General features: G+C 37.1%; 1 protein-coding gene across 15 annotated transcripts in view; it reads right to left on the bottom strand.

The window, feature by feature from the left end:
* The window catches only part of ST6GALNAC3 (ST6 N-acetylgalactosaminide alpha-2,6-sialyltransferase 3), a 562,594-nt gene that overhangs the window by 55,284 nt on the left and 481,667 nt on the right, over positions 1–25,643 (bottom strand). For 3 of the 15 annotated variants that reach the window (XM_047417099.1, NM_001160011.3, XM_017000939.2), the window contains one exon: positions 4,847–5,210. The exons of 10 other annotated variants lie outside the window; for them this stretch is intronic. In XM_047417099.1, coding sequence (XP_047273055.1) covers positions 5,201–5,210 — 10 coding nt within the window. In that variant the 3' untranslated portion in view covers positions 4,847–5,200. Of the gene's footprint in view, positions 1–4,714; positions 4,814–4,846; positions 5,211–25,643 lie in introns of those variants that run through there. 2 more of the 15 variants (NR_146056.2, NM_001349110.2) reach the window with 2 other exon arrangements.

Genomic DNA, 25,643 nt, shown 5'->3' with positions numbered 1-25,643 from the left:
ATCAATTAGCCCTCTCAAAATGGACAAGCGGCGTAAAAAGATTTCTGCAAAGAAAACATAGATTGACTAAAAATAGTAACAAGGCAAGCACATTAGACACAAGAAGAAACTGTCAGAGCTGACATATCTCCTAGGGCAAGTTTCTAGCTAGCCACAGTATCAGAGTAAAAACTGTGATGGTCTGATCTCATCAGAACTAACTCAATGATTTAGAAATTACCCAAGAGACTACTGGAAATGCAGATTTACACCCAATATATTATTGATCCTTACCCAAAGAGTTATTGTGCTTGTTATATTAATTAATGATGATGGTAACATATGTACATATTTGTAACTAATAAAATTAGAAGGTTGAAAAATATGAAATTGCCAATGTTCAAGTATTTTTGACCCACAAATTGTCAATTTCATATGGTTCAACCTAATTTGCTGAGGTTAAATGCTCAAAAATTATTTACTTTGGAGTGAGTACAGTAAAAATGTCTGTGTAGACTATTGGTTTAAGGAATAAGACACTTGATAAGCATGAATTTAGTGAGTGTTTAGGAAACTGTTTACCATTGCTCCCCAGCTGTGTATATATGTGAACACAGACATATGACATGCTACAAAGTTATTGCTTTCCTTGTCTGGTGAATAGATAATTTTATTATAACACATGCACTCTTCCCAATTGGGGTGGCTCTTAGCACCCAGATAGATTATGAAACACTGACTTGAATGACAATAATTATTCTTTGCCTGACTCCATCCTGCAGTGATGTATCTAGAAAATCAACATTCCTTAGTAAAAAACAAGGCTTTAAAAAGAATGATCTTTATGGGATCTGGTGGTTATAGAGAATTTTAGTGCCAATAAAAAGAAGATGAGGATTACTTGTTCCTTTGAGGCCGTGAGGTAATTAAAAAACAATATTTAGTGGTTTTTAGAACACCTATTTCCATGAAATCTCAGCACTAAACAATTCAGGGAAATCAGAATAGATAAATCACCTAAACAGATCAGAAAAAAATGGATAAAGCAACCATAATTCTATGCTACCTCCACCCTCTCCAGATCCATTAAATTATTTCAACCTCTTGGCATAAAATCCCATAACACTCCAAAGCATGTGTCTTGCTTTGGTGCTTGTCAAAATTAGTGTCTGAAAGACTGTACAGGGAATGCTTTTCCATTCAAGGGACAGTTTCCTATTGAAGCCCCTCTCCCAAATGACTCAGAAATGTACTCTCACCCTGCACATGCAATATCAACTCTCTCTTATCAGCTAAGATTGTTCTGTTTCATGGCACCATATCTAAAATAGATTTATGCCTTAAATTAAAGAGAGATCATGAGCTTATTTGTTTATTTGTTCTTTCAGTCACTGATACATTCAACAAGTATTCAAGTGACTACCACAAGCCACACAGTGATGAAGACACAAAAAGAGTACAGCAATTTGCTACCTGGGGCTAAGGGGCTACCAAAAAGTTAGAATTCCAAACACCAGGTGAAGCTGGTTCCCTAAGATAACATAAAAATGTGAGAAGAATAAAACAGGTTGTTGAAAACTAATGTGTTCTGGCACTTTTGTGTTTCTCAATAATTTACATATAAACACTGGCTCCTTCAGGAGCTATCTCCAAGTTAAAGTCATGTGACAGAACATCCGGAAAGAGCAAGAAACAGAAAGCGTAGGCCTAGTGAAAGGGAGAGGGTAGCAGCAATTTCCAAAATCCCTGGGATTCCATATCCCCTACAGAGTGAAGAGTGGACATGAATCTGTCAAAAGAATGTAGAACAACCTGTTAGAGCCTCTTACAGGCCAAAGATGGGACAATTTGAGCATCAACAGGGATGATGTAAATGCAATAGATTGAAATACTTCAACAAATTTTAAATCCATGTGTTCTTCATGATAGTAAAAAATTATTGAGTACCGAGGGATACTGTAGGGAACTAATGATAATTTTGAAAACTGTAAATAAAAGAATCAAGAGTTTAACCTCCCTTGGCTACACTAGTTGTACTACTGGTCACCAAAGAATAAAAAGGAGGAAATTTTTATTATAAAAATATCACATCTAATAAATGATGAAGGTATGAGAAGATAAGAATACCAGTATTTTGTAATCTCTAATCAACTAATGGATTTAGGCATTGAACATTAATGGCTAGCACTTCAAAAAGAGATAAAGCATATAGTGTGCTTTTTATTAAGTAGAAAAGACCACATATGTAAATGTCTTATCAAAAGAAAACCCCACAAAAATCTAATATAATAAAACTTCTAGATCTAACTACTAAGTACAGTAAATAAGAGACCAAAGAACATATTAAGCTATATCGTGGGGATGCAATCAGCAAAAACTAGACTGTGAGAAGCTACAGGACAAACAATCATTTTTTTCCCTTGCAGTTTGACAAATGAACTGCAAGAAGAAAAAAAGAAAAGGAGAGGAGTACCCATATGTTTTAAAAAGTCTCAAGATAAATCAATCTATGGACAAGCAATGTATGTATTTTATTTGAATTATGATTTCTTAAAAAATGTATGATGCATTAGATAATTGCATTGACTGGAGATCTGATGACATTAAGACTTACGGTGAATTTTTTTAGTGTGGGATTGGTATTCTACTCATATATAAAAACTATGTTTTTATCTTAGGAAAGTACATAATAAAATATTTTGAAATGAAATAATATGCTATTGGATTTGCCTCAAAAAAAACAGGTGGGAGAAGGGTTGGGAAGATGTGACTGATGATGAAGATGGGGCTGCAGAGACCAATGAGTTGGTATTTTCTGGAGCTGGTGATCGATGCATAGAGGTTTCTTTTATATTATTCTGTTTATATTTGTGTATGTTTGGATTTCTCCCCTCTCCACAATAAAAAGCAAAAAGAAAACAAATTAGTGGACATATGAATTCATGTATCCAAAAGATCAGCAGGACTGGCTAATTTAGATTCTTTCAGATTTTCCAGTGAAGTTACCAGACATATAATAGTCTGGTTTTCTCAGATCCAAAGCTATACCCAATGTGAAATCATATGAATATACGTAAGCACGACAGAATGAAAATAGAAACTCACTCTTGCTCTCTCCCTCAGTGCATTTGTGTAGAATATATGTATGTCCACCCACACACAAATTTGTGTATGCATAGGTATATCCTCAGATGCGTCTTATTTATATTCTGCTTGAAATTGTTTTTAGCCTTGTTGGAGAAGGCATCTGAGGCTGACAACAAACAAACCAATATTTCAATTAGCACAAAAACACGTATCAGATTTTACATACCAGATAAATGATCCTGGTGGCATGGGTAGGTAGTGTATGTAAAACGAGTCCATGTGAATGAGCATACAGATGCTGTGCCTAAAAGATTAAGGGAATTCTACACTATCAAATATCTGTGTCTAGGTTTATTTTAGCCTGGAGAAAATGCACTCGACTTAGAAATTCCATATTTTAGAGCAGCTCCCAGTTTCCTAGGGCTAATCTTTAATACTGAATAGATAAAATATTCTCCAATCCAACAAATCAAGCAATAAAAAGATGGTTCAGCTACTTTTCATATCAAAGGTCAAAGAATCCATCTTAATACTCTACTATGAAATGCTAGCCCGATGAAATTAAAACAAGACAACACAAGCCAACAAACAAAAACCCCAAACTTCTGAAAAGTAACAAAGTCCAGATTATGATATAATGACCTCTTGCAACTGATTGTTTACTACATCTAGTTGTTTACATAAAATAGAAGTCCTTATAGGCCTCTACATTATTTAAGAAAATTAGCATGTTTCAAGAAAGTGGCAGATTATTGCAGATGTAAGTGTTTTACCAATAGGGATTTTATGGTTGGCAAATGTGATTAGATACCCATTAGCATCTGCAAGCCAAATATGTGGCATGTACATCCCAGAAACACCTCAAAATGGATATTCTAATTTCCACCACTTCAAATGGACAAAAGGTTTTTATTCAGGCATAATCAAAGACAAACAAACAAAAAACTAGATAGTAAATTAGGGCAAGTTATTTCTGCTGCTTAAACAATTATCAAGTCCCCATCTGCTGCCTAAGGGTAAATGGCAAAAAGAATCGTCTGTCATTGTCATTTTTTGAAATGTGGCAAATGTTTACCGTCTACTTAATTAGTCTGTTGCCTTCATCCACTAAACATATTGAAATTTTATAGGAGATAAATTTAGGGAAAATGGTAAATAGTCTCTTTCTCCAAGTGAACAGAATAAGGACATAAAGAATGATAAAGCTACCCTCCCAGAACCACTTGCTCCATTAATACAATTCTGCCGGGAATCTCTGATTACACAGAGGTGGGCTTGCAGTTTCCATGACCACTAATGGGAGGAACATGTGCACAATGCTGGGAGGACAGTGCCTTGATGCTCTGAGGGTGTTGCTCCTAAATATCTCCCCACTTTACCAGAGCTTTGTTTTTGACAAATACTGGTGTGCTGTAATGAACTTTAAGCAACAGCTGGAGGAGGAATACATGCCCAGTTTTCAAGGTCTATAAGAAAATGAATGTTTTTATGACATGATTTATAAATGGTATTATATCTATGAAATTTTAATGCTTTAATTTTGAGCGGCATGGCATGAATTAGTGAGCCAAGATACTATCAGGGCTCGTTTTCACAAGAGCGATTTCCACTAAAAGATTAAGAGGCTATAGCTCTTGGTAAAGGTTACCTTCCAAGCAGAAAGAGGCAGTGGCAAGGGAAATCTAGCATGGCCTTTTCTACAAAACAATTCCCTTGGAGAAATCAGAAAGCTCTCCATTCAGTAGTCCTGTAATCAAAACAGAGAAATGGGAAGAACAAGTTTTGCTTTGATAAGATTTAATAAAGACAAATTGAATAAAACAAAAACTGATCAAAACAGAGAGACAACATTTAAAAATATTTACATACCACATACCACAATTTCCCTTCCTTTTTAAAAACTGTAACCATCATACCTGAATAATTATGCAGCAAGTCTACAAAGGGAAAGAACTTTACACAAAGCCACAATCTTAATCTTTGAACCACTGACATGGGTATTTGTTTTGTCTTGCTTAGTTTTGTTTGTTTGTTTGTTTGTTTCTTTCTTTCTTTCTTTTATTCCTTCCTTCCTTTTGTGGTGGGGCAGGACATGTATGTGGTGGTTGCTGTTCGATCAATCAACACTGCATGGTCACTCTGTACTGGATATCATGGGAATGGAGAAGAAATGGCAGAAGAAAATTAGTTAGACATGCAAATCACTACTTTAGCTATCAGAACCCCCTCATTCCTTATACCTACTGTGAAACTGATTAATCAGGCTCCCCAGAGCTTTTCCTCTGGCATTTTTTCTGACATGTCATCTGTACTTTCCAAAATTATTATACAACTTTTATGAAACTAAGTCTACAAGACAGGCTCTAAGGTGTAACTGATGTCTCTTTTGTAAGCCAGAGAAATTTGCACAGCCTGTGTCTCCGAAGGCTAATATTTCAGCTCTTCTTGGGGTGTTATTACCTGCATGTGTCTGGCTTCTATAGCACTAGACTGCCAAGATTCCTTGGTCTAACTGCAATAGGGGAAAAGCTATCATCAATTATGGATTGGGAGCAAACAATTAACTTTGCAGGAAGCAATTCAAATGAAAGCCAAATTGCATTTTGGACATTTTGTAACATCAAAACTTCAGTTTATCAGGACATACAAAAACACTTCATTTTCCACAGTGTCTACGGGTGCCATTAAATTCTACCCTTTGGCCTTTCTCTGTGTCTCTGTTAAGAACAAAAACACTATCATGGAGGCAAACACCCATTGCCAATAACTAATAACTAATTGCCAATAACTAATCATCCTGTTTTCTTCTGTATCTGAGAGTTTCTAGGGGAGGAACAGAGAAATTTTCGAGCAGAGTTGCCTAAGGTTTCCCTAGCTGGCCCTGACTGCACTGGCCACCTGTTCCCTGTTTAGAGAAACCATCCTTTCCCTCCCCAACCTTCTGTTCCTTGTCTCAGACTAATGATGATATATGGGGTGCCGTGTTCCTCCTAATTATGAAAATTGCTTTCTATTGGTTCCAAGATTTTTATTTGGTATCTTCTCAGAATCTTGGCTAGCCTCTGTGCCTTGGGGCCCTTAAGTAAAATTAGATCTTAGAGCCCCCATATGGGATCTGACACACAGCTTTTAACCAGGAGCTCTTATTTAAAAAAAAAGAAAATCTGGTTCTTTATAGAAAAGATGCTACTTCTCTACCATAAAGTCCACTACACTACCAAGCCTGGGCTTCCATATCTGAAGAAGAGCTTCCAGACCCTGATGCCCAAATACCATCATTGGTAAATACACCATTTCACCTTTTCCCTACGGATTTCCTTCAGTATGTTGCTCCTGTAAAATTGGGTGCCTTACCCAAGTTTGTGGACTTACCACCATCTCCCCAACTCCTCATATAAGAAACTTGAGAGTTAATCTTAATGCGCTCACTACTCTCATATTTAGTTACCATCAAATCACCTTCCTCAATATCTTCTAAACCAGTCTACTCAAATCCACCCATATTCTGCTATTTTATTTGAGGATCTCAGGATTTCTTACATTTAGTACTAACGATTGTGTCTGATACAGCGTGAGTGCTCAATGCATGTTTGGTGAATAAATCAATGATGTAATTAATGAATAAAACCTGTTCTCTTTTGACTGGCCACCAAGGGCATAAGAGGATAGGACACCAGCTTTCAGGTTCCATTGAAAATCACAAGATGGAGGGAAAACTCAGTTGTTTTATTTTTAGAAGGAAACTTAGTATGTTTGTGATAGATGTTGGAAAGGAACTTTAGAATGATTATCTTTTCATTGATGATTAAAATGGATTTCCATTTCCTCTGCATATAAAGGTGAACTGTTGCTATGGCTCAAACCAACACATTTCATCACTGGCTTCTCCAAGACAACATGTTCTGCATGTTAGAGTCTCTTCTCAGCTATAAAAATGAATATTTTGGCTGCTTCAAACTGCAATTCCATATTCAGAGTTTCTACTAAAATAACTCAACTATTCAGGTACCTTTGACCTATGGAAGACAGAGCTTAGGTCAACTTCTTTGCCTTAGCATGGGGCTTGAGGAAGACCACACATGGAGGAAGGGCCACCTTCTCAACTAGCCAAGTGAGTGAATCAACTCTGCTGACAAGCGAGTGGCAGATCAAAGCCATATCCCCTAACAACCCATTCTTCCACATGCTACTGGTGCTCTTTGATACAAGCTATTATTTTCTTCATCAGTTTTACGGACACCTTTAACACCTTAGACCCTTTCAGGGCTCTTTCTGGCAATTTGAACTTTGAAACTTGGAAAAGAAATATCCCCAGGCTTCAACTGCCTGAGATAGTTCCCAGAGACTTGCACATACTTTCAGCGGAAGAAACTATGGGCCCTTGAATTTCAGATTAATATAAGGAAGATCATTTTGAAAATTGGAGCTACTGGTTGGTGGAATGGGCTGCTTCAGGAAGTAGAGAGCTTTTTGTGCCTGAAGATTTCAAAAAGAGGCTGATAATTACTGCTTAATGTATCAGGGAGAGGATTCAGCCATGGGAGCAGGAGTGTAGTATAGATAATAGAAATAGAGAAGGTAGACCATTTAAATTCATCTCTGAGATTCTACGGTCCTAATAGATTCTACTTAAGTGGTGATAAATTCTACATGCAGACTTAAATAATTGTCAAAAGGCTATAAAATATCTAGAAACAAGGCTTATAAGACTGTCTCATTTTATATAATCCATTATTGTAGATACACAGTTTAGATAAAAATTCCTGATTTTGAATTTAACACATCATCACTCAAAACTGTGCCATATACCAGGTGCTTAAAGTGTTTATTTAAATAATTTGGCTACTTTGTATTGAATTGTCAAGTTTCATACTGGGTATTTCTACTCTCTCTCTTCCATTTTCCATAGATTATAACTTTCACAAAGGCATTTTGCATTATTTATTGCAGTGTTTCTACTATCTAAATAGTCCTTAGCACATAGTAGGTGTTCAATGAATATTTATTGAATTTTGAACATTTTCTTCCCCATAAGATTGGATGAAAAAGACAAAATTATCTATCCAGAGCAAATATTTTCCTTGCATCCTTCTCTACTGTCCCTGCCAACCCCACTCCTACCCACACTGGCTCCAAGGACCCAAAGAACCAGACCATTCATTACTTCCTAGAAGTACAAGGCCAGAGGATAAAAATTAAAATATTAACAGTATTTATATCTGCATAAAAAACTCACAAATGTGTTTATTTTTTATTTATGCTTTTCCATTTTTCATATTTATTTTTAAAATGAAATGTTATTACACCTATGAGACAAAAAAAAAAGGAGAAGAAAGGGGGAAGACACTACCTTGGCTACATGTTCATTCAAATTGGATGAACATCTCTACAAGCATGGAATCAAAAGGACATTTTTCCTTTTTCCTGTGTAGGTGTAACACAAACAATGTGAGGTAGGCCACATAGTCACACTAAGTTCTGAGCAGAGAAGGAACTAAGCACTCAGGTTGCCTGTATCAGGGCAGGGGATTGCTCCCTGTGTGTGCAATTCACACACAGACCCTGCTCCCTCAGAAATAAGAACACCACTCTGGGTGTTGGGATGCTTGCTGCCATATGCCAATCAACAATGAGATTTGTTACGTGGAAGGAGGAGGCAGGAGATGCAATGATCCTGGCCTGTCAGCAGGTTTATATCGCTTATGACATTTCAGCAAGTGACTGGATGCTTGTAAGAGGACCGGAAAGGTAGTTCCACTTGCCAGCACTGGTAATCGCTTAAAAAGTGTCTGTAGAAATCAGCAGTCGCCTTGCATGCCCCCTGGAAAAGACATGGCTAAGTGACTTCAGAGGTTTGTTCAGCACTGCCTTCAGCACAAATACAAATAAAATGATTAAGCCTATTTCCCCATGACTCCCCTGGCAACTCACTTCCAATCTCACCACATCGATCACCAGGAAAAGATTATCTACTTCTACAAAACTTTTAGTTAACTTTCTGGGCTATGGTCTGACATCAGCAAAGCTTCCCTTTAACTGATAAGACAAGCAATTTCATTTTCGTCCTTAGTGAGTGTAAGGTATTAAGACACTACCTAAAATTCTTCAAAATGGTATCTTCTTCTCTCCTTGCCAAGCTGTGAGACTAACAATACCTTTGACAAGCTGAAAAATTTCTTAGCTGCCTGCTGTCTCCGCAACAAATTTCCTTCATCAACTAATTCACTAATTTGGGCCTTCTTGAGAACTCAGCTAATTTGTAAGAACAGGTGGCTTATTCCATAAGTGTTCAATAAAGATTCACACATGATTACACATACAGCATTGCCTTAAAAACAAATGAAGAAATGTGTGTATTTATGGAGAAGCTAAAGAGACAGACAAGAGATTCTTTAGTAGCTAACTGTGTGCATCTGGTGATCTGGCAAAATTCTTCCCAGAAACTGGTGGGGGAAGGAAGCAGAAGTAGGTGACATAAGGATATAAAGTCCTGGTCACATGGACAATTAACTATTCTTGGGGAAGCTACCAAGAGGTTATAGATATGAAACAAACAAAAAACTACCAATCACAGCTTCACTCTTATTTTTTCTCTATTCTTATGTTTACCTGGCCTTGAGTTTATTCAGTCATGAAACATTTATTGAGCATTTAATAGCACTTAATATGTCACAGGCACTGCTTCATTTGCCTAAGTTAACTATATTCTCTTATTAGAAAAGAGGAAAGGATATGTTATGTGGTTAAGAAAATAAATTAGATGCTGTGATATTACTAGGATAGGCAGGAAAAAAGACAGTTCATGTAAAGAATATAAAGCCAATCATTCCCCCATTTGCCTGGACATAAAATATCCAAAAAAAGAGGAAAAAAAAGGAATGATAGCAACAATTCTGAATGATGTTTTTGTCAAATTTAAGGAATTGGCTAATTATTTTTCCATGAGGAATATTTAACTTGTTTAAGAAAAAATGCCTAACATCAGAGAAAGCTAGAAGATACAAAGTGATGTTATCATGATGTACTTTTCTCAAAAGGGCAATAATTTTTGATAAGATGATTGCTATAAGAGAGCACAGGAAAATTCACCCTTTTTTCTTAATAGGGTATTAAATTTTAAAATTTCTAAATTTTCTTAGTTAAGAATTAAGGATTTATGTGCATAAATCACTAGCTTACAAACCATTGGAACCCAATAGTACAAAGTACAGTGAGTACCACAATAATTTTGAGTTAACATGTACATACCAGGATGATAATAAATTCACTCACTCTTTATATATGATAAGCAAAGAACAGCAACTCAACTCACTCAGGCATAGGAAACCTTTCTTTCCCATTCATAATCCTAGTTATTCTTCAATTATTTGATCCAGGAAAAAGTATTTGCATTTATAATATAAGATAGTAAATACTTCTGATGCTCAGAAGGTTTAAAATAAAGGTTAATTGAGGTGAAGAATTCAACACAGTTCCCTAACAAAACATGCTTTCTAGAAGCAAGAGAATCTGTTTCCTACAGTCTGTGATAAAATCATGGCTGTGAAAATATTTCAACTGGCACAAGGATTACTGTCCCTTATAAGTGCGGAAGTTGCCTTTTTAAAAAAAGTAGGTGGATACAGAGGTAGCTCACATTTTTTGGTCCAAGAGTTCCAGCTAAGGTCTAGAAACAGTGAGCGACCACTGAAAGATTTTAATCAAGAGCATGACATTGGAATTGAATATTGCAGGAAGCCATACCAGAAGAAGGGATAATATTTCAGAAGATATCTTTGTAATTCACTGAAGAAATGACAATTAAAAGGCATTATGAATGGGAAGACGTACACAGATAGGAGATAGAATAGATAATATCTGGTGTAAAATTAAATGCAAAAGACACTTGGATAACTGAGATTCTAGTTTTAGGCCTGGATAGAAGCCTCATCCATTAGCAACATTAGGAAAATAAGTCAAAGAGCAATTTCGAGAGAGGAAAGGAGGGGCTAATTTTGGACAGTTTGAGGTTTTAGTTGTCTAAAAGGGTACTGAAGTAGAGACATCTAGAAGAGCACTGGTATTTGAGTCTCAGCAGGCTGGGAATATGAACAAAGAAGTGGCACCTAAGGACATGGGCCTGTATGAAATCATTGAGCGATTAAAGGAGAGTACCAAGAAAAAAGTCCTTGGAGAGAACGATATTTCTGGGTGAAAAAGGAGATCCAAGAAAGGAAATGAAGAAAGAACAACCAGAGTGGTGTCCCCCACGGCAAGAGAAGAGAACACTTTGACAAGGAGATATGTCAAATGCTCTAGAAAAATGAGTAAAAACAAACACAATAAAAGCACGCATAAGCCTTAGCAACATAAGATGTCATTGGCAAGTTTATTCATGTGTTAGTATAAAGAATCAACTGTTTGAGTTAGAAGTAAGTGAAAATTTAGGGAGAAAGACATTGAAGGTACATACTTCTTTTAAGTAGTTTCCTATGAAGTATAGAAGAGTTTTATCATAGTAAATAGAGGAAGGTATGAGATTGGAAAAATTTTTAAAAAGAAAAGATGGATTGAATTAAGCAACTGCACATGCTGCATGGAGTACAGAGAAATTACTGAAGATCTAAGAGAAAGAAAGGAAAGAGGAGAGGGAGAGAAAAGGAAGAAGAGAGGGAAGGAAGAAAAATAAGCATCTTTGGTCTGAGGGCAGAATATCCAAAGCACTGGTGAAGAATTGTCCATTACCATACATACATTTTTAATAACATTCCATAAAGGTTGATATTTTATAAAGATATTCCATAAAGGTTTAAATGTCTTCTTGATTTAAGATGGACATTATTAGCTCAACAAACATGAGTGCACACTATTCAGAAATGGCTGGATTAACTATCTAAATTAGATCCATTATTTCCATAGTTCAGAGTATAGCTCAGCCCTTCTTTAGCTTCGCTGCTTCATTACAGAAAATGGATTAGCTTCACACCTAGCCTCAGATGGAAAATGATCAGTGATTTAGACTGCCTTGACATGGATGAGATGTCACGTAATTTGATTTTTGAAGAGAAAAATAGATGGTAGAAACTGATTTCCTTAATTTTATGAACATCAAATCCAAGAACATAGGAGTTTCATGGCTTAAAAAAATGTCTGATGCTAATGGCACAAGTGATAAAATATGGGTCTAATCAAAATGACTCAGTATTGAACAGTAAGCCCTGCAGCACCCAATTACTCAGTGCTATTTCTAGTGAGAAATATGATATTTGGAGGTATAAACTAACCTGCAGCCATAAGAAATATATATGGTGAGAATAAGCAGGAAGAAATTCCCGAAATGCTGTCCTACGAGATCTTAATTGTAGTCCTATTAGGAGAGTTAATTACTGGGGGCGTGTTATTTTCAAGCAGTCAGATTTTTACATTCAGACAGCACTTCTACTAAAGTTGACTTGCTAATAAAGTTTCATTTGCAACCAGTATTAACATGATTTTATTTTGAACGTGTCACTTTGATTTGCCCAGGCATCTTGTTTTGATTTGCCTTGGCCAATTTTGCAGTAGGACAAACAAAGAATTTTCTTTAGTTCTCTCAGCTCACTCAAGGTTAATAGGGCAGCCCCTGTACTTAGTTAAATAAGTGACCTGCCATGCCTCTATTAATTCATTTTTGCCAAGCTGAAATCCATTTCAGACTGGAATGTTTTCTCCTCCTTGAATTTACTGAACGTATTTTGTACCAATACAACAAAATATGTCTTGGAAAGAAAACGTAATTAGAAAATAGAGAAACCAGCAGGGTTTTTTGTTTTGTTTTGTTTTTGTTGCTTTCCCTTCAAACAAGTGTATGTTTGGGCAGCAAAGACAGCAGTATATGGCCCTTCATTCATTTCCCTAGAGAATAGTGGATCAACTGCTGAAAAAGGAGTTATGTTTATTCTGCAAAATGCATATCAGATCCTTTGACAAGCAGTACTCATTAAGGTCTGTTTTGTACGCCATTCGGTATGCCTGGGATGCTTCTACAGACAAGCCATCCCCTGGGGCAGTTTAACCACATTTATTCTTCTCAATTTTCCCCTAGGTTTCTAACTACAAAAGGAAAAAAAAATAAATTAACAAAATCCATTTGGAAAATGAATCTTGTTTAATGGGTTCCAGGAAATGTCTAGTGCTGACATGAATGCAACTAGCATTTCCACTCACACCCAGGATGACTTTGCTTTGATACATGAGCAGAAACACTCTTGGCGAACCTGGGATTTGAGGCCACAGCTCATTAATGCACCTGGACACGAAGCACTATACTGCGTGTCTGTGTTTCTACTGTGCCTTTCAATGCCTCCTCTGTATGAGTAGAACCTGTCTGTTATTGTTTGGTTGGGTAAAAACTGCCCATGTACGTGGAGAATGGTTGTGTGTGTTGAAGTAGGTGTTAATCCATGCATTGGTTTAATGTAGTCGGGCTCCTGTAGAGATTCCAAATTGCAATTCGACTACACAGGGTTTATAGACAACTTTCATGCTGGGAGAGAGATGGTCTGCAAAGAGTGCCAGGAACAAAGTGCATACATGACATGGAAGAGGGCTTGGGAACAAATCTTTCTGAACATTTCTGTAGATAGGCTTTGGTGTGTTAGAGCAATGTGAAATGCTTAACATGCAGGTCAGTTCAATTACTGGAAGAGATGTGCAGGTGTCCAGGAAAGAGCACCAGACTGCAGTTAGAAGGGCAGGGTTCTAATCATGCCTCTGCTGTGTACTTGTGGTCTGTTCTTGGGCAAGCCACTAGACCTCTCTAAGCCTTACAAATAGGGTGTAATAGTACCTGCTTCAAAGCGTGGAATGATACAAGATGGAATGATGTAGTAGACAAGGAACTGGCTAATGCCCCCGGTGAGTTAACCAGGCATTCTGCTAGGCGCTGGGAATATGAAAGAATAAGATATGATTCCCATCTTAAGTTTAAAGTGTTTTCTTCTTTTCTTTAATTTTTAAAGCCTCTTCTCTCATGTCATAAGAAATCAACATAGCAATAATCTTATTTTTAACATACAGATGCAACTACCGAAGCACAGAGATAAATAATTATTTGCTCAGGGCAAATATATATGCATTAGAGAGCCTATGGTCCTGACACTGACTTGAAAATTCCAAGCTTGAGAATTTAGGAAGACAGGTCCTCCCTTATCACATTCTACAAAATGATTACAAATTTCCAAACCCACTCTGGATGGGCTGAAGAATTTTCAAGGTAAATAACTGAAATGCACTGTAGGTTCTTGGGAAGCACAATATAAGGACTCACAAGAGATATCTATTTCTCATAAGTACCAGTATGATTTGATTTAGGCTGTTCAAAGGATATCTCTGAAATACCAAGGGAATTAAAACTACAATATTATTAATTACTTTCACATTTGGATATTATTGCATCTGGTGAAGTGGCTGCATAGTGGTGGAGCTTTTCAATGTTTTATTGTATAAAAGGAAAGAAAATATGACACTTTATAACATTGTCTTGTTAGTTTTAGTACTTCATTTAGAAATAGTCTTTCATGTTGCTTAAGTTTTTCCAGTAAAATGTCATAAGTAAATAACAACTGGTAGTCCTCCCTTTTTCTTTGATTATTGTTCTCTTGTGGTACCTTACTTTGCCAGTTATATCAAAAGTAAGGGTGTGATTGCTCTCATGAATATGCATAATTTCAGAGCCTATACCAGCTTGCATAGTATATTAAACCTGATATTGAAATTCCAATCAGATGTATTATGATACCGTGCAACATCAAAACCAAGAATGAGAGGGTCTCATGGCTTTAAAATCATATTGAATTTGATCCAGGCATTTGCTGAAAAAAGATTACAAAAATACTCTTTTGCTTTCTACATATAGAACAAGAAAATATTAACATCCTTTTTTTCCTCTCTCCCTTCTTTTCTGTCCTAGATTCCTCCCTCCTTCCCTGTCCTCATTCTTTTTTCTTCATTCCTTTCCTTCATTCAACAACTATCTATTAAGGGTAGGATGGCCAACTGTTTGGAATTCACTGGGACAAAGTGAATCACAAGGATGTGGAATTTTCAATGGTAAAATGGAGAAACTTCCAAGAGAACTGGGAGGAATTGGGTATAATAATTGAGGACCTATTTTGTGCCAGGTATTATTCTAGGTGCTGAACATTCAGCAATGAATAAAGCAAACCTCCTCTCATGTAATATATTTTCCAATGAAAAGAGGCAGGAGGCAGAAAAGAAATTATCACAATGTAAGTGCTAGAAAGAATTAAACCGGGCAAGAGAGAGTGATGGGTAAAGGCAGGGGACTTTATTTTATCTGGGGTGGTTCAACAAAGCCTTTCTGGTTAGGTGACATTTGGCAGGATGTGGAGGAATCGATGGAGTGAGACACTGGGTAGCGCAGGGAAGAGGATCAGAGTCATTGGAAGGGTCTTGGGGGCAGGGCTGTGTTGGGAGGTCTGGAGGAATAAGAAAGAGGCAGTGTGGTTGGAGCAGAGGGACAGTGAAGATGCTGGAGGTAGGAGATGAGGAACCTGCAGGGCCATTGTAAAGAGTGTGAGCTTTTATTCCGAGTCCCATGGGAAGCCATTGAACAGTTACTTACATTTGGAAGGAAGATTTTGATTGCAGTGTAGATAATACACTGTAAAGAGGTAGAGAAGAAGCAGAGAGACTAGTTCAGAGGTTCTTGCCATAGTCCATCTATTATTGGGATCTTTTAATATAAATTACTCTTTACTTGCTAGTTGTTCAGTTCCTTTTGAAAGCTATTACATATATTAGTCCACACCTGACATACTGTCACTATTTTAGGGTAGAATCTGAGAAATACTTGCTGGTTGATGTCCGTCTGTGCTCCAAGGATCCATATGGCACCTGCCATTCACTGTTACCTAATCATTACTAGCCAAAGATGTCCTCTTTTCTTTAAAAACAGAATCTTAGTTGATCAAAGATAAATATGTAGTTTACCGACTCGGTTCTAAGTGATATCAAAATATCAACCTATCCCTTGAAACAATAACAAAAAATACAACACTGCTCACAATAAAAAATCTGAACAAAGGCTTTTTACTAATCTTATGATAGAGATAACAATTTTGAATTACATGAATGTACTTTCTTCTCCTGAATTTCTTTGTGCTCACCCCTACATTGTTCCAGGGGCATCTGTTTGCTGAGGGAGGATTAGCAGTGCAGGGTAGGACTGCAGCGGCAGGGGGAGAGTGATAAACATCATTGAATATCCACAGCTTTGGCACTGGAAACAAGACAATAGTTTTGAACAACTGGTTCTGTTAGAAATGAAACGAATCATCTAAAACCTGTTAGCCTCAATTAACACATCAAGAACCAGGCCTGAAGCACACATCTGGCATATCTGTGCTTTTTCTATAATGCAGGAAGGACACCTTTTCTTCCATGTCTACCGAGCTGGGAGGCTTAGTGACCCAGTAAGAAGGAGATGACTTCGAGGAAGCCCGTTCAAGAGAGGAAGAGAAAACGGAAGGACCTGCTATTTTCCAGAGGAATTTTCCTGTGGGGAGAAATGAAGACATGGAATTTTCCTAGGGGAGAGAGAAGACACATCCTGATGCCTCCTGGGGGAGGGGGACAACTGTGCTCTGGGAGGAGATCACAGTGGTAGCTCCACCAAAGTAACATGCCCTGAGGTTAGCTCTCCAAAATCTTTAACGCCTGTGTGGTGTAGAAGGTATCCAGGAGCTTCCTCTGCATTCTAGACGTCAATAGCAGGAGGACAGTGTTTGGTGAGCTTTAAAGGGGTGTGTCCTCAGTTGTTGTCAGCATAGGCAGCCCCCTTAATGCTGACCCAATGGGAGCCCAGCAAAAGGCACAGGCACCCTCCATGAGATCAGAGGGGCCCCTCCCGTTGGACACCGGACTGAGAGACATCCTCCCACCCTTGTACTCAGCAATCATCTTTGGAAACGGAAATGGGGAAGGGAAGAATTCTGAAAAGGGCAAGAATTTTCTTGCAGGGGAGCATTTTAAGTGGAATCAAAAATAAGAAACAGAACTAACAAGTTGAACTTTTTCTGCCACCTAGGAGGAAGGTAAAAATTCATCAAAATTAGATCAGTTTCAGAATAATAAAAATGCTGCCACGCCTGTAATCCCAGCACTTTGGGAGGCCGAAGCAGGCGGATCTTGAGGTCAGGAGATCGAGACCATCCTGGCTAACGGTGAAACCCCGTCTCTACTAAAAATACAAAAAATTAGCCAGGCGTGGTGGTGGGCGCCTATAGTCCCAGCTACTTGGGAGGCTGAGGCAGGAGAATGGCGTGAACCCGGGAGGCGGAGCTTGCAGTGAGCCGAGATAGAGCCACTGCACTCCAGCCTGGGCAACAGAGCTAGACTCCATCTCAAAAAAAAAAAAAAAAAAAAAAAAAAAATGCTGCATTCAACTTGCATATTTGAGCCTGGTTTGTTGTCTTTTGATATCACCAATTTGGCATCACCAGTGAATCCACCACTAATTTAGCATTGAATCCTGAATCTGGCCTGGCTGTGAAGGTTGCAGTCATTTGCTGTGGGATTCTTTTGAATTAAGTTCTCTTCAAGGGTGGATCTAGCTTGTGTGGCCTATATTACTGAAGGAAGTGAGAATCTTTAAGAAAAAATAAAATTACAAATACAAAGTAGGTTTAAAAGTAAATAGAATGAAAAAATAGATCACAACAAATTATTGAAGACCTGGTAATTCAGTTTCTTTTCTTCTATAATCTCTTTATCTCCCACTGGGTCCATGCAAGGGAGAGGCGCTGACACAAGCTTCACCTGCTTTGTGTTGTATCTCAGGTACTCAGTTTATTCCAACAGATCATCCTGTTTTCCACAAGAACCAATGCTGCAAGATTAAGTCTACGGTCTAACTAGGAGCAAACTAGTAGGTCAGAAGAACACAGCCTACTGTCTTGGCATGATTGTCTTTGTGGGAGAAAGGGGGATGTGGTACTCTCGTACCTCTTGTCTACTTCTTGGCATCCCTTTCCCTTCCCTGGACTTGGGATGCTTAATGGATCCTTCTTGTACATAATGGGGGAAATGATAACTAATCTCTACTGCTGAAGGTATTAGGAACATTTACTGCCTATTAGCCAAAGTAGCTTTAGAGGGGCAGAAGGGAGAAAGAACCTACACTGAGCACTCTCATATATGCTAGGCTAATAACTATTCTATGGGCTTTACTTGATTTTTCTATGGAGAAAGACTTTTTGCTTCATATATTTTCATAATAAAATCAAACAAAACATATATTGAATAGCTAAACAGCACAGTTTTCTCCACTGGGTAAATTAAGACAATATATGTGAAGTACTTTGTAACTGTACCATGATAATTTAATGTAAAATAACTTTATTATTGTTATTGTTGTTTTTATTTCTACTGTTTGGGAGCATAAGAGTTAAATTGGGTTCTAAATACCTGACTTTGCCATCAAGGTGCTGCTGATTTGAAATTCCAAGTATTATCTTCCTTTGAGGATTACTGACAAAAATTGTATGGGTGAAAAGAGCAATATTTTAAAGAAAGTGTCAGAAGCAATGAGCGTGACTTCTTGGGATACCTCCCGATTTTCCAGATAGAAGACACATCAGGCACCTGCCTCTCCCAGTTTGTCCCTTTGTTAGCACTTGGAAAGTGAGGCAGATTTCACAATAGATACAAAGCAGATTTAATTTCACCTCTGGCTCAAGGCCTAACATCCCTTTCTCCCCTTCCCCGGGTCTCTGTCTGCCTGGGTTAGTGAGAGGGTTGCCAAACAAGATTGAAAACTGATTGATTTCCCATTCTGATACAGCTATAGTGCCAGTCGCATTATTCTTTAGTGGTGTTAGTTAAATATTAAGGGGAATCTTAAGTGAAAAATTCTGTGTAATGTAAACATATTGTTAGGTTGCCTGAAAGGGTCACATTTCAATTAAACTGAATGACAGGAGTGTGGATAGTACCTTCTCAGGATTCCAGAAAGATGCCATCAGTAAAAGCCCCACATAGCAATGGGGTTCCTATGCCTTCCTTCTATGTGCAACCAAAATGTATTAATATTTGGGATGAGAAAGCTGGTCTGACACCACATGAGGGCTTGGTCTCTTCATCTACCTATCTGATGAACAGTTTAGATTTTCAAAAATTCTAACTTGAGAATTGTCTCTCTGACCTTTATTGTACAAATATTGATACAGTCTATAATCTCCAGCAGATCTGGATCATCTATTAAACAAACGTTTTCAAACATTATCATAGTAATATATTTACTTTTACAAGGCACAATGAAAGACAATGGGTAGATGTTGCAGACAAGCACATTTTGCCTCAAATAGTAAAAATAATTTAAATGATTCTCCACATAGGCAGGCCAACTCAGGAGATGGTGGACAGACGTTTGGCTCTGGGTGTTTTCAAATAAAGTGAGGTTTCTACCCATCAGAGACAGTAGCGCTCAAGTGGGTGAAAGTGGCTATCAAGTGGGTGTTGATGATGTAGAGAGAAAGTGTGCCTAGTTACCACCACATCATCCTGCATTTGTTCCCACTATATCATTCCCATTGCCACTATGGTAGTTCAAGCCCTGCTTTTAATTTTCCTGAACTATGTAAACATGGTCTTTGCTTATATCCTTGTCTATCATCTCAGCTTCTTACATCCTGTCCTCCACTGTGACACTTAGTGATCCTCCCCCGACTTTTTTAAGAGTTTTATTTTGATAAAACTCACATACCATATAATTCACTCATTTAAAGTGAGTTCAGTGCATTTTGTTATATTCACTGCATTGTGCATTTATCACCACAATCTAATTTTAGAACATTTTCATCAGCCCAAGGAGAAACACTGTCCCCATTTATGGTCATTTCTTATTCCTGCTCCTACTCCCTTGTCCCAGCCCCAGGAAACAACTAAACTACTATCTCCATAGATGTGCCTATTCTGGACATTTCATATAAATAGAATTATATAATATTTGGTCTTTTGTGACTAGCTTGCTTCACTTAGAATGTTTCCAAGATTCATACATGTTGTACCATGTATCTGTATTTTTAATTGCTGAATAATATTAGATTGTATGGACCTCATACATTTTTCAATCCATTAATCAGTTGACAGACATGTAGGTTCCTTCCACTCTTTGACTGTAAAAATAATGCTGCTTTGAAAATGCATGTAAAAGTTTTTGTGTGGATGTGTTTTTATTTTTCTCAGAGTGAAATTACTGAATCATGTGTGGCCTCTATGTCCAACATTTTAAGGAACCGCTAGACTATGTTTCAAAACTGCTGTGCCATTTTGATTCCCTATCAGCAGTGTATGAGGATTCCAGTTTCTCCATCTTTGCCAATCATTTTTATTATCTATCATTTTGACAGTAGCCATCAAGCCGGTGTGAAGTGGTATCTCATTGTGGTTTGATTTGCATTTTTCAGATTTCTAATGGTGTTGAGCATCTTTTCATGTATTTATTGGCCATTTATATATCTTCTTTCGGGAGATGGCTACTAAAATCATTAGACAAATTTTTAAATTACATTGTAATAATTATTTATATATTCTAGATGTGAGTCCTTTATCTGATATATAATTTGCAAATATATTCTCCCATTCTGTGAGTAGATTTTTCATTGTCTTTTTAAAACATTCACAACTAAACTATTACTGACTATTGTACCCTATTGGGCTATCAAACACCATTTCTTATTCATTCTTTCTATTTATTCTGTACCCGTTAAACATCCCCACTTCCCCACAACCCTCCCACTATCCTTCCTAGCCTCTGGTAACCATCGTTCTACTCTCTATCTCCATGAATTCTATTCCTTTGGTTTCTAGATCCCACAAATGAGTGAGAGAACAGGCAATATTTGTCTTTCTGTGCTTGAGTTATTTTACTTAGCATAATGACCTCCAGTTCCATCCGTGTTGCTGCAAATGACAGGATCTCATGTTTTTAAATGGCTAAACAGTATTCTGTTGTGTATAAGTACCAGATTTTCTTTATCCATTCATCTATTGATGGACACTTAGGTTGCTTCCAAGTTTTGGCTTCCAAATTTTGGCTTCCAAGTTCTTGCTGCAACAAACATGGGAATGCAGATATCTCTTTGATTTACTGATTTCCTTTCTTTTGGTTATATACCCAGCGGTGGGATTGCTGGATCATACAGTAACTCTATATTTAGTTTTTCAAGGAACGTTCAAACTGTTCTCCACAGTGATTGTACTAATTTACATTCCCACCAACAGTGTGCAAGGGTTTCCTTTCCTCCACATCTTCACCAGTGTTTGCAATTGCCTGTCTTTTGGATACAAGCCATTTTAAGTGGGGTGAGATGATATCTCATTGTAGTTTTGATTTTCACTTTTCTGATGATCAGCGATGTTGAGCACTACTTCATATGCCTGTTTGCCATTTGTATGTCTTCCTTTGAGAAATATCTATTCAAATATTTTGCTCATTTTTTAATTGGATTATTAGATTTTTTCCTATGGAGTTGTTTCAGCTCCTTATATATTCTGGTTGTTAATCTCTTGTCAGATGGGTAGTTTGCAAGTATTTTCTCCCATTCTGTGGGTTGTCGCTTCACTTCATTAATTATTTCTTTTGCTGTGCAGAGCTTTTTAACTTGAGGTGATCCCATTTGTCCATTTTTGCTTTGGTGGCCTCTACTTTTGGGGTATCTCAATAAAATTTCGCCCAAATCAACGTCCTGAAGAGTTTCTCCAATGTTTCCTGTAGTGGTTTTATAGTTTGAGGTCTCAGACTTAAGTCTTAAATCCATTTTGATTTGATTTTTGTATATGGTGAGAGATAGGGGGTCTAGTTTTATTCTTCTGCATATGGATATCTAGTTTTCCCAGCATCATTTATTGAAGAGATGGTCTTTTCCCCAGTGCATGATCTTGGTTCTCCTCTGTCAAAAATGAGTTCACTTTAGGTGCATGGATTTGTTTCTGGGTTCTCTATGCTTTATTGGAGCTCCATTGTATGTCATTTGCTTCTTTTCCCTTGCTGCTTTTAGGATGATCTTTATGCTATCCTTGACCTTTGGGAGTTTGATTATTAAATGCCCTGAGACATTATTAAATGTGTCACAGTTGCTGTGATTTCCCTCTTGCCAGCACACAGTAGCATTCTCCACCATGCTGTCACCTCTGGGGCATGGGAGAGAGGCGGCATCAGCAATTCAAGGCTGTTTTTCCTGCCTCTTCAGTGCCTCTTGCATTGATATGAAGTTAAAACCACGTACTGTGTACTGTGAATGCTCACCTGAGTTTTGGTTCTTATGAAGGTGTTTTATTCTGTGTACATAGTTGTTAAATTAATCTCCTTGTGTGAGGGATGATCAGTGGAGACTCCTACTCCACCTTGCTCCACCCCAAGTCCTGATTTTTCATTTTCTTGATGGTACCCTTTGAAGGACAAAGGTTTTTAATTTTGACAAAGTTTAACGTATCTATTGTTCTTTATTGTTGTTGCTTATGCTTCTGATTTCAAATGTAAAAAGTAATTGCCTACTCCATGATCATGGAAATTTACTCTTCTGTTTTCCTGCAGGAGTTTTATATCCTCCATTTAAGTCTATAATTTACTTTGTTAATTTTGGAGGGTTGTGTGAGGTATGGGTTCAACTTCATTCTTTTGCATTTGCATGTGCAGTTGTCCTAACGTCGTTTGTTGGAAGGGTGATTTGTCTTACACATAAGTCTAAAGATTCATTCCACTTAATATTCAAAATTCTTCAGTAGCTTCCCGTCATCTATGGTAGTGGTTTCTAGATTTGGCCTTCTTGAACCAGCAAAGTAAAATTAACAATTTTGGAAGACTTACCAAGGGTTACAAACTTTTTATTACTCCAAGTAAAGAGAGAAAAAGGAAAAAGATATATTATCTATGCATTTTCTCTATTATTTAATAAGATATTTTTCATATATAGTCACACACCAGGAAGGAAAATAATTTCAGAAGTATTTAAGTAATTTTAGCTTTACTGAAAACTCAGCACATTGCCTCCTCTTTTTTCTTTTTTAAAAATTTATTATTAAATAGTTGTGTATTTATAGGAAGTTGAAAATATAATACAGAATGGTCCCACATACTCTTTACCCAATTTTCCCCAAGAGCTATACCTGTGTAACTATAGTAAAATATCAAATTCAAAACATTGGCATAGATAAATGTATCTATAACATTTTATGCCATTTTACTTTATTTTCAACTTTTATTTTAGGTTTACGGGTACATGTGCAGGTTTGTTACATGGGTAAATTGCAGCACTAAACTTTGGTGTACAAATAATCCTGTTATTCAGGTAGTTAGCATAGTACCCAGTAGGTAGTTTTTCAGCCCTTCCTCCCCTCCCATTCTCCCTACTCTAGGGGTCCCCAGTGCCCAGTGTCTATTGATCTCTTCTACATGTCCATGTGTACTCAATGTTTAGCTCCCACTTATAAGTGAGAACATGTGGCATTTGATTTTCTGTTCCTGAGTTAAATTGATTAGGATTATGGGCTCCAGCTGCATCCATGTTGCTGCAAAGGGCAATATTTCATTATTTTTTATGGCTGCTTAGTATTCCATGGTGTATATGTACATTTTCTTTATCCAGCCCACTGTTGATAGGCATCTAGGTTAATTCCCTGTCTTTGCTATTGTGAATAGTGCTGTGATGAACGTATGAGTGCAGGTGTCATTTGGTAGAACAATTTATTTTCCTTTGGGTATATACCCAGTAATAGGATTGCTGAGTTGAAAGGTAGTTCTGTTTTAAAAATTCTTTCAGAAATCTCCAAACTGCTTTCCACAGTGGCTGAACTAATTTACATTCCTTCTAACAGTGTATAAGTGTTCCCTTTTCTCCACAACTTCTCCAATGTTGGCTACTTTTTGTTTTTGTAGTAATAGCCATTCTGACTTTTGTGAGGGGGTGTCTCATTGTAGTTTTGTTTTTGGGGAAATATTTATCATAGTTTGTCATTTGGGAACCACCATAGCTCCCTCTTACTAACATGTTTCATCTTTTGTATTCTTCCTCTTATATAACTTTATGATGTAGCCATATTGAAAATGTATGATTCATTTTCTTTTGTTCTTCTGCTTTTGGCTGGAATGACTCCACACATTCCCATTCTACAAATGGAAGAAATATATGTATAAAGTCTAATACAACATAAATGTTACATTGCATCCCTAATGGGATGCAAAGGCTATTCATAGGAGTGGAAGGGTTAGTTTCCAGCCTATCTACTCTACTTTTCTTTGGGGAGAGAGGTAGAATAACTAATGTGGAAACCTAAGATAAATCTTGACATCACTATTTATAAACTATGGCAAGACAACCTTTCTTAGACTCATATTTATTACCTGAAAATTGGAGTATTTGCTCCATAAGGCTACCATGGGGATTAAACAATAAGACATATAAATTCACCACTGCAGAATTTAGATGCATGGTAGGTAATCAGTAAATGTTATTTGCCTCCTCTCAGATCTTTACCTGTGGTTTACAATCCTGATGGAACATTAGTTTTGCCTGGAGAGTTTGGAGAAGCCCGCATCCCAATTTCCCATTGATGAGTTAATCCTAAAATTCACACGGAAATTCAAGGGACCCAGCATAGCCAGAAGCAATCCTATGAAAGGATAAAAAAGTTGGAGGATTCACACTTTCTGATTTCAAAATTTGCCACAAAGTTATGGTAATCAAAACTGCACGCAGTGGAAGAAGGAAATACATGAAGATCAATGGAATAAACTTAAGAGTCCCAAAATAAGAATATATATCTATGATCAATTTTTTATGAGAGTGCTAAGACAATCCAATGGTGAGGGTCGGGGAGGGGGTAATTTTTTCAACATCTGGTTCGGTGATAACTGTATATTCACATGCAAAAAAAGTGAAGTTAGACACCTTCCTCACACCATTCACAAAATTAAACTCAAAATAGATAATAGACCTAAGCATAAGAGCTAAAATTCTACTACTCTCAAAAGAAAATGTAGGAGTAAATACTCCTTACTTTGGATTAGGCAAGCCTTTTTAAATACGACACTAAAAGCATAAGTGACAAAAGAAAAAAACAGATAAATTGGATTTATCAAAATTAAAAACATTTGTGTTCAAAGCACACTGGCAAGAAAGTGAAAAGATAGCCCACAAGGTGAGAGAAAATATTTGCACATCATACATATAATTAAGGATGTGCATGTAGAATATATAAAGAATTTTTAAAGCTCAATAAGAAAAAGATAAATAGCCCAATTAAAAATGGTCAAACGATTTGAAGAAACATTTATCCAAAGAAGATATATAGTCAGTAAGTACAGGAAAAGATGCTCAACATTATTAGCCAACTAGGAAATGCAACCAAAGCCATAATGAGGTATACCCATTATCATGGCTACTATCAGAATGATAGATAATAACAAGAGTTGGCTAAGATATGGAGAAATCAGAACCCTCATAAACTGTTGGTAGAAATGTAAACTGGTACAGCTACTCTAAAAAATAGTCTGGTAGTTCCTGAAAATGTTGAACATAGAGTTAGTATAAGCACCA

The sequence above is a fragment of the Homo sapiens genome, chromosome 1 (genome assembly GCF_000001405.40).
Source record: "Homo sapiens chromosome 1, GRCh38.p14 Primary Assembly".
NCBI classification, from domain to species: Eukaryota; Metazoa; Chordata; class Mammalia; order Primates; family Hominidae; genus Homo; species Homo sapiens.
The sequence above is the reverse complement of the archived record's forward strand: the minus strand, read 5'-3'. Positions and strand labels throughout refer to the sequence as shown.